This window comes from Homo sapiens, chromosome 1 (genome assembly GCF_000001405.40).
Source record: "Homo sapiens chromosome 1, GRCh38.p14 Primary Assembly".
NCBI classification, from domain to species: domain Eukaryota; kingdom Metazoa; phylum Chordata; class Mammalia; order Primates; family Hominidae; genus Homo; species Homo sapiens.
This window is the reverse complement of record NC_000001.11, coordinates 230,107,622-230,120,126: the sequence shown is the minus strand read 5'-3', so window position 1 is coordinate 230,120,126 and position 12,505 is coordinate 230,107,622. Positions and strand designations below refer to the sequence as shown.

Genomic DNA, 12,505 nt, shown 5'->3' with positions numbered 1-12,505 from the left:
GTATGGTGGCAGACGCTTGGAGATGCTCCGGCCAGGTGCCGAGGGCACAGGGGAGGAACAGGAAAGCAGGCCGCCCTGAGCCCAATAGCGAACCGCAAACGCTTCCCAGCACAGAGAACCAGGGCTCTCTGGGAAAGGCTGACTCCAGGTCTGGGGCAGGAACAGACAATGTGACCCCGGGAATCTTACCACAGTATACAGCAACACGGTCCTCAAAGGCCATGACAATCACGCCAATGGGATGTAGGGCCCACCTCAAGCAGCTTTCACTGACCAAAGCTGGGAAAATGTGAACCCTAATAATAATAACTGGAATAAGCTGAAATGCAAATGTGTAAGTCCACATAATGCCATAAAACCAAACAAGCAAAAAGCCCTATCTGGTTACCACTGACTAGAAACTGATAAATAAAAGGAAGAAACTGACATGGGTGTTATCTTTCCCCCATGGACAGTACCACCAGGTAAACAAATAGTGGGGGTGGGGGGAGTTCTCTTTATACAAACAGCCTAGCAAAGAAATTACACTCGCAGATAGAATTAAAATGTTACAATGTTGAAAGCCTAAAGAACTAGGAGATACAGACACTGAGTATCAATGGTTGCCTCCACCACAGAAACCCAGTGCCCTGTGCCTCCAGGTCCAAGAGTGCAGCACAGACCCCACGTGGCGAGCAGCCTCGCCCATCCCTCAAAGAGGAAGAAACAAATCAAATGGGAATCTCATCAAGGCTCTACACCCGACTTCACATTTGCAGGAAACAGAGCACGGAGGAACATGGAAAACTACCCCACGGAGACGCAAGCCACAAAATCCAGGCTGGAAAACAGTAAGGCGATTCCCAGCTCCCTTCACAAAAACCTGTACGCACAAGTCAATGAAATGACCAAAAGCAGAGGGAAAAAAGAAAACTCCGATTTTCCAAGAACCAGAGGTTGTATGAATCAACCACAGTCGGTAACTTTATATAAATCCTGAATTAAGAAAAATTATAAATACAGGTATAACATTTAGGAACCAAATGGAGATTTGAGCGATAATTAAATATGGATGCCCTTAAGGAACTTGTTAATTGTTTTTAAGTATGATTTATGGTACTGTGAGTTCAAACTATCTTTTAGAGACACACACTAAAATATTTATAGGTAAAATAAGATGATTTCTGGGGCCCATTTCCAGGGTGGTCATGGACAGGACAGGGCTGACCATAGGCTGATCGGATAAAGGCAGGGTGAGGGGCAGGCAGAGTTCATTATACTATTGAGTCTACTTACATATATTTGAACTTTACTATAATAACTTTTTTTAATTGGGCTAGTAGGATGAGAGGAAGGGCGTCACAGAGGAGGTGCCATCTGAACCGCATCTTACAGGGCATGAAGGCCGGACGATGCTCCCACCGAGACAGTGCGGGGAGGAGCCACGCGGGGAAGAACCGACAGCCAGTCCCCGTAGGGCAAAGGCAAAAAATAGTTGAGGCTGGAGAGAGGTGGGAAGAAGCCAGGGCTCCAGGGAGATAAGGAACCAGCCATACTTGTGCTTCTGGCCCTACAGGGACTCTGGTGACCCTGCAGATGGTGGCACTGATGGGACTATAAAAGAGAGGGGCCTCCCAGGAAGGCACCACAACAGATGTGGCTGCTATGTGTGACTAACCGCCCTGGTCAAAAAATAGGCTTGCACACTTTGGAAGACAGTTTGGCAGGATCTTACAAAACTAAACATACACTTTCTATACAGTCCAGTGAGCGCACTCGTTGGAATTTATCCAAAGGAGTTGAAAACTTATGTCCACACAAAAACCTGCATACAAATGTTCCTAACACCTTTATTCATAATTGCTACAATGTGAAACAACCAAGATGTCCTTTGTCATGATGGACACATCTAGGCAAATGGATTAACTGTGGTATATCCAGACAACGGAACAGTATTCAGTGCTAAAAAGAAATGAGCTCTCCAGTCATGAAAAGACATGGAAGAACCTTAAATACATAGGACTAAGTGAAAGAAGCCAATTTGAAAAGGCTACATACTGAATGATTCCAACATTCTGGGATAGGCAAAGTGATGGAGACAGTAAAAAGATCAGTGGTTATCGGGGTTGGGAGGGATGAACAGGGAGCACACAGACAATTCCAAGGGCAGCGAAGCTATTCCATATGACACTGCCCAGAACAGAGTGAGGCGGATGCTTTCATCAGACACGTATATCTTGCTTCACTGCACTTCACACTGATATGCTTCAGATACTGTGTTTTTTACAAACTGAAGGTCTGTGGCAACCCTACATCGAGCAAGTCTATCACTGCCATTTTTTCTAACAGCGTGTGCTCACTTCATGTCTATATGTCACATTTTGGCCATTCTCACAATATTTCAAACTTTGTCACTATTATATCTTATGGTGATCTGTGATCAGTGGTCTTTGATGATACTAATCATTTTGGAGCACCATGAACCATACAAAATGGCAAACTTAATGGATAAACATGGTGTGTGTTCTGACTCCCCCACTCACTGGCTGTTCTGCCATCTCCCTCCCTCTCCTCAAGCCTCCCTATTCCCTGCGATACCACGATACTGAAATTAGGCCAATTGGTAACCTTACAATGGCCTCTGAGTGTTCAAGTGAAAGGAGGAGCGGCACATCTCTCACCTTAAATCAAAAGCTGATAATGATTAAGCTTAGTGAGGAAGGCCAGTTAGCTGAGTGTGAATGCAAAGGAAAAGTTCTTGAAGGAAATTAAAAGTGCTACTCCAGTGAACACATGAACGATAAGAAAGCCAAACAGCCTTATTGCTGATACGGAGAAGGTGTGAGCAGTCTGGATAGAAGATCAAATGAGCTGCAGCATTCCCTTAAGCCAAAGCCTAATCCAGAGCAAGGCCCTTACTCTCCTCAATTCTATGAAAGCTAACCGTGTGTGAGGAAGCTGCAGAAGAGGAGCTGAAAGCTAGGAGAGGTTGACTCATGAGGTTTAAGGGAAGAAGCCACCTCCATACCATAAACGTGCAAGGTGAAGCAGCAAGTGCTGATGGAGAAGCTGCAGCAAGTTACCCAGAAGATCTAACTGAGATCCCTGATGAAGGTGGCTACCCTACAGCAGCCTTCTATTGGAAGAAGATGCCATCTAGGACTATCATTGCTAGGGAGGAGATGCCAATGCTTGGCTTCAAAGCCTCAAAGGACAGTCTGATTCTCCTGTAAGAGGCTAATACAGCTGGTGACTTTACATTGATGCCAATGCTCATTTACCATTCCGAAACTCCTAGCACCCTTAAGAATGATGTTAAATCTACTCTGCCTGTGCTCTATAAATGGAACAACAGAACATGGATGACAGCACATCTGTTTACAGCACGGTTTACTGAAGATTTTAAGTCCGTGTTGAGACTGCTCGGAAAAAAAATATATACTCCTGTCAAAAGACTACTACTGATCACTGATGACACACCTGGTCACCCAAGAGCTCTGATGGAGATGCACAAGGAGGTGAATACTGTTTCCATGCCTGGTAACACAACAGCCATTCTGCAGCCCATGGATCAAGCAGTAATTTCAACCTTTAAGTCTTGTTTAAGAAATACATTTTGTGGCCAGGCACAGTGGCTCACGCCTGTAATCTCAGCACTTTGGGAGGCCGAGGCAGGTAGATCACGAGATCAGGAGATCGAGACCATCCTGCCCAACATGGTGAAACCCCGTCTCTACTAAAAATACAAAAATTAGTTGGGCGTGGTGGTGTGTGCCTGCAATCCCAGCTACTCAGGAGGCTGAGGCGGGAGAATTCCTTGAACCTGGGATGCAGAGGTTGCAGTGAGCCGAGATCGTGCCACTGCACTCCAGCCTGGTGACATAGCGAGACTCTGTCTCAAAAAAAAAAAGAAAGATGTTTTGTAAAACTATAACTGCCATAGATAGTGACTCCTCTTATAGATCTGGGCAAAGTCAAGTGAAATCCTTCTGGAAAGAATTCACCCTTACAGTTGCCATTAAGAACATTCGTGATTCACAGAAAAGATCAAAATATCAACACTAACCAGAGCGTGGAAGAAGCTGATTCCAACCTTCATGGATGACTTTGAGGGGTTCAAGACTAGAGTGGAGAAGGAACTGCAGTTGTGGTGGAAACACCAAGAGAACTAGAAGTGGAGACGACAGATGTGACTGAATTGCTGCAAACTCATGATAGAACCTGGAAAAAGACATGGAAGAGCAAAGAAAGTGGTTTCCTGAGATGGAATCTATTCCTAGGGAACATGCTGTGAGCATGTCAAAATTACAACAAAGGATTCAGAATAAACTTAATTGACAAAGACGTGGCAGGGTTTGAGGGAACTGACTCCTATTCTGAAAGAAGTCCTACTGTGGGCAAAATGCTAAACAGCAACGCATGCTACAAAGAAATCTTTTGTGAAAGGAAGAGTCCATCAATGTGGCAAATTTCATTGTTGTCTTCTTTTAAGAAACTGTCGCAGCCACCACCTCAACCTTCAACCACCACCACCGTCATCAGTCAGCAGCCATCAACATCTGGGCAAAAAGACTATGACTCGACTTGCTAAAAACTCAGATGATCCTTAGCATTTTTCAGTAATAAAATATTTTAAAATTAAGATCCGTACATTGTTTAGGCATAAGGCTACTGCCCTATTCACAGACGGCAATACAGTGTAAACATAACTTTGTATGCACTAGGAAACCAAAAACTGTGTGTGACTTGCTTTACTGCCGTATTTGCTTTATGTGATGGCCTGAAATCAAACCCACAATTTTCTCAGACGTGTGTCTGTACATTTGTCCAAACCCATAGAATGTACAAAAGCAAGAGTGAACCCTCCTGTAATCCCAGCACTCTGGGAGGCCGAGGCAGGTGGATCACAAGGTCAGGAGTTCAAGACCGGCATGGCCAAGATAGTAAAACCCTGTCTCTACTAAAAATACAAAAATTAGCTGGGTGTGGTGGCAGGAGCTTGTAATCCCACCTACTTAGGAGGCTGAGGCAGGAGAATCGCTTGAACCCGGGTGGCAGAGGTTGCAATGAGCCGAGATCATGCCACTGCACTCCAGCCTGGGTGACAGAGTGAGACTCCATCTTAAAAAAAAAAAAAAAAAGAGTGAACCCTAATGTAAGCTGTGGACTTGGGAGACTTAAGGATGTGTCAGTGTAGGTTTGTGGACTATAACTCTTGCGAAGGGAAACTAATAGGGGAAGCTGGATGTTGGGGTAGCAGGTATACAGGCACTCTCTGTACCTTCTGCTCAATTTTGCTGTGAACCCAAAACTGCTCTAAAAAATAAAGCCTATTGAAAACAGATTTGCACGTTCTACATGGTACATAACCATCCATCTTTACTGCCATTAATGCCACACCACGTATTTAGCACCAAGATCCAAGAGCTCAATTCAGCGTTCTGGACCAGACTAAAAGGTGAGCTGAGTGCGTTTACTGGGTCAGCTGCATCATTTCCAGCCCGCAGGCCAGTTCGCCGGGTGGCATCCAGGACTTACGAGGTCAAGGGAATGTCTACCTGCTCCACCGCCAACGCTGTTTCCCCTGTTCATGTCCCAGCAGTGCCGGGTTCAGCCCAAGCCCCTCCTCTCGCTGAGAATCCCTCCTACCTCACTACAACTTAGAAATATCTTTCCAACATACAGACGTAATCGTGTGGGAAACGTCTGCCCATTTACAAACCTCAAGTGCCTCACTGAATTTCGCCAGTGAAATTCCCAAGTGACAAAGGATGAGATTTGTTCTCTTCTTCCAGGGCTCAGTCTTCACCAGGGAAAATTGACTTAGGAAGATTCCTTCACAAGGAATGGCCGGAAGCTACTGGGGGACAGCAGAGAAAGGAACGACTAAACCTCCCCCTAGAATGAGGCGCGGAAACACCAGGAAGACGAACTGAAAACCTGACCCTGAATGTGGCCAGAGGAATCACTGTGGCCCGTTTCCAAGAATCTCAGATTACCAGAGACACAGCTAAGTGGGCAGAAACCCCCTGTCCTAACAGAAGCCAGCTCCGAACTGAAAGGAAACACACGTCAAAAACGGCTTTCCTTAAAATGAGACTCTGACAGCCAAGGCTGGGAACGCAAGGGTTTTCATTCTATCACGTCAAGCACTTCACGGAGATGAAGTCCTTCATTCACTGCCTCACCCCGTGAGTCAGATGCTCAGCACATGCTGACGTTATTCTGAAAAAAAAAACAAAAAACAAATCCAATGACTTGCCCTGAGCCACAGCCATTGAGTCACAGGCAGAACTGGGAAGAGGCCTCGCTTCCCACATTTGGCAAGGCCAGTGACCCCTTCCCCGAAAAGACCTTCACAGAGATCATGACCTCTTTTATCTGATCAGGTGCAAACAAGCTGCCAACACTCCCTGGGCTTCTGAAGGCAAGGAGAAGAGCATCTGAAATCCCGCACGCTGTCTGTGCTGGGGAAAGTCCCAACAGGCAACATCAGCCCCAAGATACTCTGAGCTCCTCAAGAGCCACTCAGCAGCGATCCATCCCGTCCACTTCTTGAGCACTTTGCATGGGACACTGGGTTCCACTGTCATTGCTCAGCCGTTGTCCCACATGGCTGTTTAGCTGTGCTATGCAGGCTTCTTGCCCCAGCAGGTGGGGTCAGGTCTTCTTCTTATCCACCTCTACCACAGCTGTTCCTCAATAACAGCTCCCAGCTGACAGCAGCTCCGCCCTGCAGCTCCAGGTATAAACTGGAGTTTGCCCGCCATGTAAGTGCTGCGCAAACTGGATTCCTGAGTCAAGGAGAGAAGAACAGAGAAAGAAACTGGTACAAGGAAGACTGAGCCCTGGAAGAAGAGAACAAAACTCACCCTTTTTCAGCAGCTCCTCACTCTCCAAGCCTGACCTTCACAGCACCACACAGAGCAAGTCAGGCAGCTCTGGCATCAACAGAGCTGTTCAGAGCACAGATCCGATGTGCCCAGCGCTGGGGCTCTATCCCTCCCTCCAGATGCTGTGCAGCCACACAAATAACATGGGGGTAAGACACTTCCTCAGGCCAGAAACACCTGAAGAAAGCCCCAAGCATGCTGGCAAACACACATGCAAGAGGGCACACAGAAGGTGCTGAGACCTTCACCTCTGCCACAGTTACGAGGTCACTGGTCCACGCTCAACAGGCAGCAGAGCCCAGAACAAAATCCAGGACAGAATGAGGCTGTCCCAGGCAGTTCCTAAGGGCATGGAGACACTCTATTTTACTGGAAAAGATGCTTGCTTGGTATAAGATTTTGTCCTGGCTCACAGCCCAAGAGTGGACCAGCGGAGCCAGGCCTGGTCCCCCCCACCCCCCTGCCACACACACTGTGCCACCTACCCCCTGGGCCAATCCACAGCAGACAAGCTGCAGAGCAGGAATCTCCGCAGCACAACTGCGCTTCCTCCACTCAGCCACCCTCTCCCTCCTCCTCCCTTCGCCATCCTCATCCCCACAAACAAGAGAAAAGGCCTCTGTTTAAGTCACTTGGAAAAGAACGAATCACAGCTCAGCAAGGGAAGAGTGGCTTGAAGTGGCCCTCACAGCAGACTGCCTGTGTGGCCAGATCCCTCCTCCACTGCCCTCACCCCAATCCTGCCCATTCAGACCAGCTGTGTGCATCTCTGTCAGAAACAGGCATAAATGCTTTCTGATCTCTGCGACTCCATGAAAACAGGAACAAGCTACATGCTCCACGCACACACTCTAAATGCAGGCCCCCCCCCTCCCCCGGCGCCTCTGGAGGCAGGCTCCCTTTAAGAACTACCCACCCCATGTGCAGGCTGCACTCCCTCTCAGGGTGCGCCTGGAGTGAACACTCAGACTAAGCTAAGCTAATCTGTTTTCTCAAGGAGGTGCAGGCTCAGCCTATGCTAGGAGATTAGACCCACAGGTAGACACATGAGTCCTGGGCAGAGAAAATCCCACTGCAGAGAGAGGAGAAAGCAGCCACCTGGCCTGGAGGAGCAGAGCTGAGATCCAGCTGTGGCCACCATGGACTGGGCTGGACCCAGGTCCCAGTTCTCATGCCTTCTGAGGCCAGCCAGCCTTCTTCCTCTCAGTAATGAGACACCTCCCCACCATGTCCCCACAATAAATTCCCTTTTCTGCTTAAGCCAGCCTGCACAGTAGGCTGCTTTTGCTTGCAATCAAGAGGATCTTTAACAAGGGGATATGTTTAAAAAAAAAAAAAAGAATAACAAAAAGAGGCTACTGGTATGTGAATCCTGGGGGCCACTTCTTAGGTAAGACAGGAAAAAACCATCTTGCAGCCAGATTTCAGGTCCAAAGCTCTAGATTTTGTATTCTGGCTATCTCTCCCTTTCATCAGTGACACAGTCTTCCATTTTTGATCTTGCAAAAATTTCCCGAGTGAACCAGTGTTCATTTTAAGAAGCTTTGGTTTCAGGCAATCTGACAATTAATTTAACGCAACAAGCTAATCAAAGTGAGAGGTGTAACAGCAAACTTACTTCTGTTCAAGTATCGGCTCTGGGATTTAAAAGAGTGAAAATCAGAAGTTAAAACTTGGAAACAATCCCTGATGATTTCAGCCAGCAAGAGAAAGACTACTTGGGTACATGCCCTGAAGGAGGGATGCTTTCTCAGACCATGCTTTTGAACACTTTCAGAGTCTCATTGAGCAGAGCCTTCTGGGGAGGGTTCACCTTGAAATGTAGGTAAATACACATGTGTGTTTGTACATGTATGCAAACACACTTGTGTTGTACTGCATATGTTCCATGCACACATGTGTATGCAAATGTGCATGGGCAGTGTGTGAACATGTATGTGCCTGCAAACACATATCGTAGGCTTGCATGTAAGTACACATTGCAGTGTGCACGTGTGCACAAATTAGTATGCACACGTGTAGGTACATGCATGCATGGTACGCACATGTACATGCAGGCATACTATGCACTGCATGTGTGCATGTGTGCTGTGTACATGTGTGCATGCACAGATACGCATGTGCCATATGCCCATGCCACATGCCCATATGTACATAAATGCAGACACATGCAGTGTGTACATATGTATGTACACACACACAAATATGCATGCACAGTATATATACGTACACACGCATGCAGACACACGCACACACATTCCTGCAAGTCAGGTATGAACAACAATTCTAATTACTTTATCAGCTTCTGCCTGGCAATGGTGGCTTGTACTTAAAGAGAAGAGCATACATTTTCCCCAGAACTCCCATGGTCTGTCAGTAACCCACCCAGAGGAAACTATATACTCCACGCCTCCCCAGTTTTCCACGGTCAGGCTGATGTCCAAACTCCTCTCAACTCATGCTCAATGTATTTGCATTCCCAGTCTCTTTTTACCAGAAAAGACCCTAGAAAAATCTATTGAAGACAAAAAAAAAAAAAACAGAAAAGCACAGCTGAGAGAGACCCTCAAGGCTTAGGCATAGAAAAAGTCTGAGGACCTAATAAAGAATATAACAGCGCACTCCAGCAGCAGTGAGTAGTTCTGCATTATCACTGTATGCAGCACACCATTCTAAGTGTTCTGGTTACATTAACTCACTTAATCCCCACACAAAGCTTTGATTATCCCCATTTAGTGTAAGTGGGGAAACTTAGTGCAAAGGTCAGACACCTCCAACATGACAGCACTAGGACCCAACCCCAAGCGGCCATGCTTGAGCCACCCCACGCCCTGTCCTCATGTGACAGTAGTGGGGCTCCCAGGCCGTCAGAGCTCACAACAGCTCCAGTGACTCAAATAAGAACAGCCCTGAACATTCTCTATTCAACCTCAGAGCAAGCACAGAGCAGAGACAGAGATCCTTTTGGTCCCCCTAAAATGTCCCTGACACACAGGAAAAACACAGGTGAGGAGGGGAGGGAATGAGTCACAAAAATTAAAAACCACCATAGTATATTTAAATGAGCTATTAGCCATACTGAGAGAATGAGCAGGAGCACTAAGTTTAAGGAAGGACACTTTCACCCCACAGCTGCTCCTAGGATGGCTCAGCCTCTGCACAGAGAACGGCTGCATCAGCCTGTGGGAGGCACACCTGCTCTGCCAGGACGCCGTGGCTCCCAGTGCTACCCCAGACGGGTGTACACCAGGTCTGTTTCACATCTCTGATCTGCGTGACAGGAAACAGAAACAGAACTTGAGAGACCTACGCGTCCCAGAAGAGGTCAAATGTTAGCAAATGCATAAAATGAGCTTGTTTGTCTTTCTGACTTGAGGCTCACTGACTGCCTCCCTAACAGTGTTCCTTCTTTTTTTTTTTTTTGGAGACGAAGTTTCGCTCTTGTTGCCCAGGCTGGAGGGCAATGGCGTGATCTCTCAACTCACTGCGACCTCCGCCTCCCAGGTTCAAGTGATTCTTCTGCCTCAGCCTCCAGAGTAGCTGGGATTACAGGCACCTGCCACCACGCCCAGCTAATTTTTGTATATTTAGTAGAGATGGGGTTTCACCATGTTGACCAGGCTGTTCTTGAACTTCTGACCTCAGGTGATCCACCTGCCTCGGCCTCCCGAAGTGCTGGGATTACATGCGTGAGCCACTGCGCCCAGCCAACAGTGTTCCTTCTTAAGTCTACTCCTACCCTGCAGCCATACATCTGGTGGTGGACAATGGTGCCTCTCCAGTCTTTCCAGGTCATTAGCCAGTCCCAGACAGACCTCTGTCCCCCAAGAACCTGTTCGTGTGACAGGGCTGCCTTTGTGGCACTAGTCCTGACGTCCCACATGAGTGGCCTACTCCTGTTAACCACCACACCATGTCCCTGCTACACCCCGAGGGAGCCTGCAGGGCCCCCAACCACCACTGCTGCAGCCGCCACCCCACCCCGCACCTCCCTGCACCCGCTCACCTGCAAAGGCAAGGACCACACTGGGCAGCTGCATCCCATCTACGGGGGTCCGCAGCCGCAGCTCCCAGGGAGACCCCCATCAGAGGGCAGAGCCTTCCAACGCCCAGGGGAGGCTACTGGTGGAGCGGGAATTCAACTCAGTGAGTTGCTGCCAGCAAAGTGTTTAATGAGATAGAGAAGAGTAGGATAGTCCATCTAGAAAACGTTTGCACTGTTCGCGAAACTTTGTTTCTAACATATATATCCTGCTCTACATCTCATCCTGTTATTCAGATGGTCTCCAACTTACCATGGCTCGACTTAACAATTCTGACTTCACGATGGTGCGAAAGCAATATGCCTTCAGTAGAAACTGTACTTCAAATCTGGAATTCTGCTCTTATCCTGGGCTAGCGATATGCGGTCGGATAGTCTCTGACAATGCCGGGCAATGTCAGTGATTCACAGCTCTCAGTCAGCCACACGGTCACGAAGTTAAACAACTGATACCCTACAGTGTGCGGTGCTGTCAGCATTGTTTGGATATGACTTGCCCAATTGCAGGCTAACGTTTAAGTGCTCTGAGCACAATGAAGGCAGGTGAGGCTAAGCTATGATGCTTGATAGCTTAGGTATATCAAATGCATTTTCGACTTCAGATGTTTCCAACTTACAGTGTCTTTACTGGGACATGATCCCATCATAAGCTGAGGAACATCTGTGCATAAATCTCATCCTTATATATCCCATCAGGGATGGATGCTCCTCGACTTACAATGCGCCACATCTTGGTAAAGCCACTGTAAGTTGAAAATACCATTATATCAGAAGTGCATTATGGACTTAGGATATTTTCAACTTATGATGGGTTTATCGGGACATAGCTTCATTGTTAATTGAGGAACGTACTGAACGTGTATCACTTTCACACCATCGTAAAGTTGAAAAAGTGTAAGCGAAACCATCCCCAGTCAGGGACTAAGTGTATCATCTTCAAAACATGAGGAAAACTTCCTAGGAGAACTTTATTATGAGCTTGCTTGTATGCCCAATTAGAAGTGCTCTTTCAGGACTGTGCTCTTTCAGGACTGTGCCTATTGCTTCACAGGCAAACCAGTTCCACGTGGCTCAGGGTGCAAGCTCCTGGCAGCAGAGCCTGCCTTCTCCTTCTGTGTTTACCGTGCCCAGCATCCCTTCTCATGCAAGCCAGTGAGCCCTATGAATGAGTCTGCCCAAGCCTGGGCAATACCTGTGACCCCTTTCACAGCATTTTATGATGCACGCAGGTAACATTCACCTGTCTGCACCCGCACAGAAATGGGGATCCAGATGTGCCCACAGCTGCAAAGCTGGCAGTGCAGGCAAGGTGGCCTAGGATTCTCAACTCACAGCATGGCCTCCCTGAAAGGCAGCCTCACCCACCAGCACCCCAAGTCTTAGCAGTCCCTTGACTCTAATTTTTAATGTCTTGAGTGTGATAAACATCGTCTAGGAAGATTTCTGTTTTAATTATTCACTTAAGCCACCCTCCAAAATTCCTGCTAAAGCACCAATATGTAAACCACTTTTAGTCACAGGAAATAGTTCTCCTTTCTTTAATCCATGGCTTAAACCAACCAACCAACCACACACACACACACACACACAC

The 12,505-nt window shown here is 47.4% G+C and overlaps 1 protein-coding gene across 3 annotated transcripts in view, besides 5 other annotated features; it reads right to left on the bottom strand.

Annotated features, from left to right (window-relative positions):
- The window catches only part of GALNT2 (polypeptide N-acetylgalactosaminyltransferase 2), a 224,334-nt gene that overhangs the window by 161,996 nt on the left and 49,833 nt on the right, over positions 1 to 12,505 (bottom strand). Inside the window, exons 1-2 of one of the 3 annotated variants that reach the window (XM_017000964.3) lie at positions 7,358 to 12,505; positions 4,046 to 6,773 (exon numbers count right to left, since the gene is read on the bottom strand). The exon at positions 7,358 to 12,505 is cut by the window's right edge and continues 25,053 nt beyond it. The exons of the other annotated variants lie outside the window; for them this stretch is intronic. Of the exons in view, the coding sequence (XP_016856453.2) occupies positions 4,046 to 4,078 (33 nt within the window). The 5' untranslated portion in view covers positions 4,079 to 6,773; positions 7,358 to 12,505. The remainder of the gene's footprint in view (positions 1 to 4,045; positions 6,774 to 7,357) is intronic. 3 annotated transcript variants of the gene reach the window in all.
- Positions 5,678 to 6,877: an enhancer, noted in NCBI's record as "BRD4-independent group 4 enhancer chr1:230248997-230250196 (GRCh37/hg19 assembly coordinates)". NCBI's record gives its function as "activates an origin of replication core promoter dependent on BRD2, P300/CBP, MED14 and CDK7 cofactors, and independent of BRD4, by STARR-seq in HCT116 cells {active_cell/tissue: HCT116}" and the evidence as "EXISTENCE:reporter gene assay evidence [ECO:0000049][PMID:35650434]".
- Positions 7,776 to 8,442: an enhancer, noted in NCBI's record as "H3K27ac-H3K4me1 hESC enhancer chr1:230247432-230248098 (GRCh37/hg19 assembly coordinates)". NCBI's record gives its function as "activates a minimal SCP1, AML or CMV promoter by ChIP-STARR-seq in primed H9 embryonic stem cells {active_cell/tissue: H9 hESC(primed)}" and the evidence as "EXISTENCE:reporter gene assay evidence [ECO:0000049][PMID:30033119]".
- Positions 9,480 to 9,559: an enhancer, noted in NCBI's record as "active region_2713". NCBI's record gives its function as "activates an Ori minimal core promoter by ATAC-STARR-seq in GM12878 lymphoblastoid cells {active_cell/tissue: GM12878}" and the evidence as "EXISTENCE:reporter gene assay evidence [ECO:0000049][PMID:35858748]".
- Positions 9,570 to 9,629: an enhancer, noted in NCBI's record as "active region_2712". NCBI's record gives its function as "activates an Ori minimal core promoter by ATAC-STARR-seq in GM12878 lymphoblastoid cells {active_cell/tissue: GM12878}" and the evidence as "EXISTENCE:reporter gene assay evidence [ECO:0000049][PMID:35858748]".
- Positions 10,260 to 10,319: an enhancer, noted in NCBI's record as "active region_2711". NCBI's record gives its function as "activates an Ori minimal core promoter by ATAC-STARR-seq in GM12878 lymphoblastoid cells {active_cell/tissue: GM12878}" and the evidence as "EXISTENCE:reporter gene assay evidence [ECO:0000049][PMID:35858748]".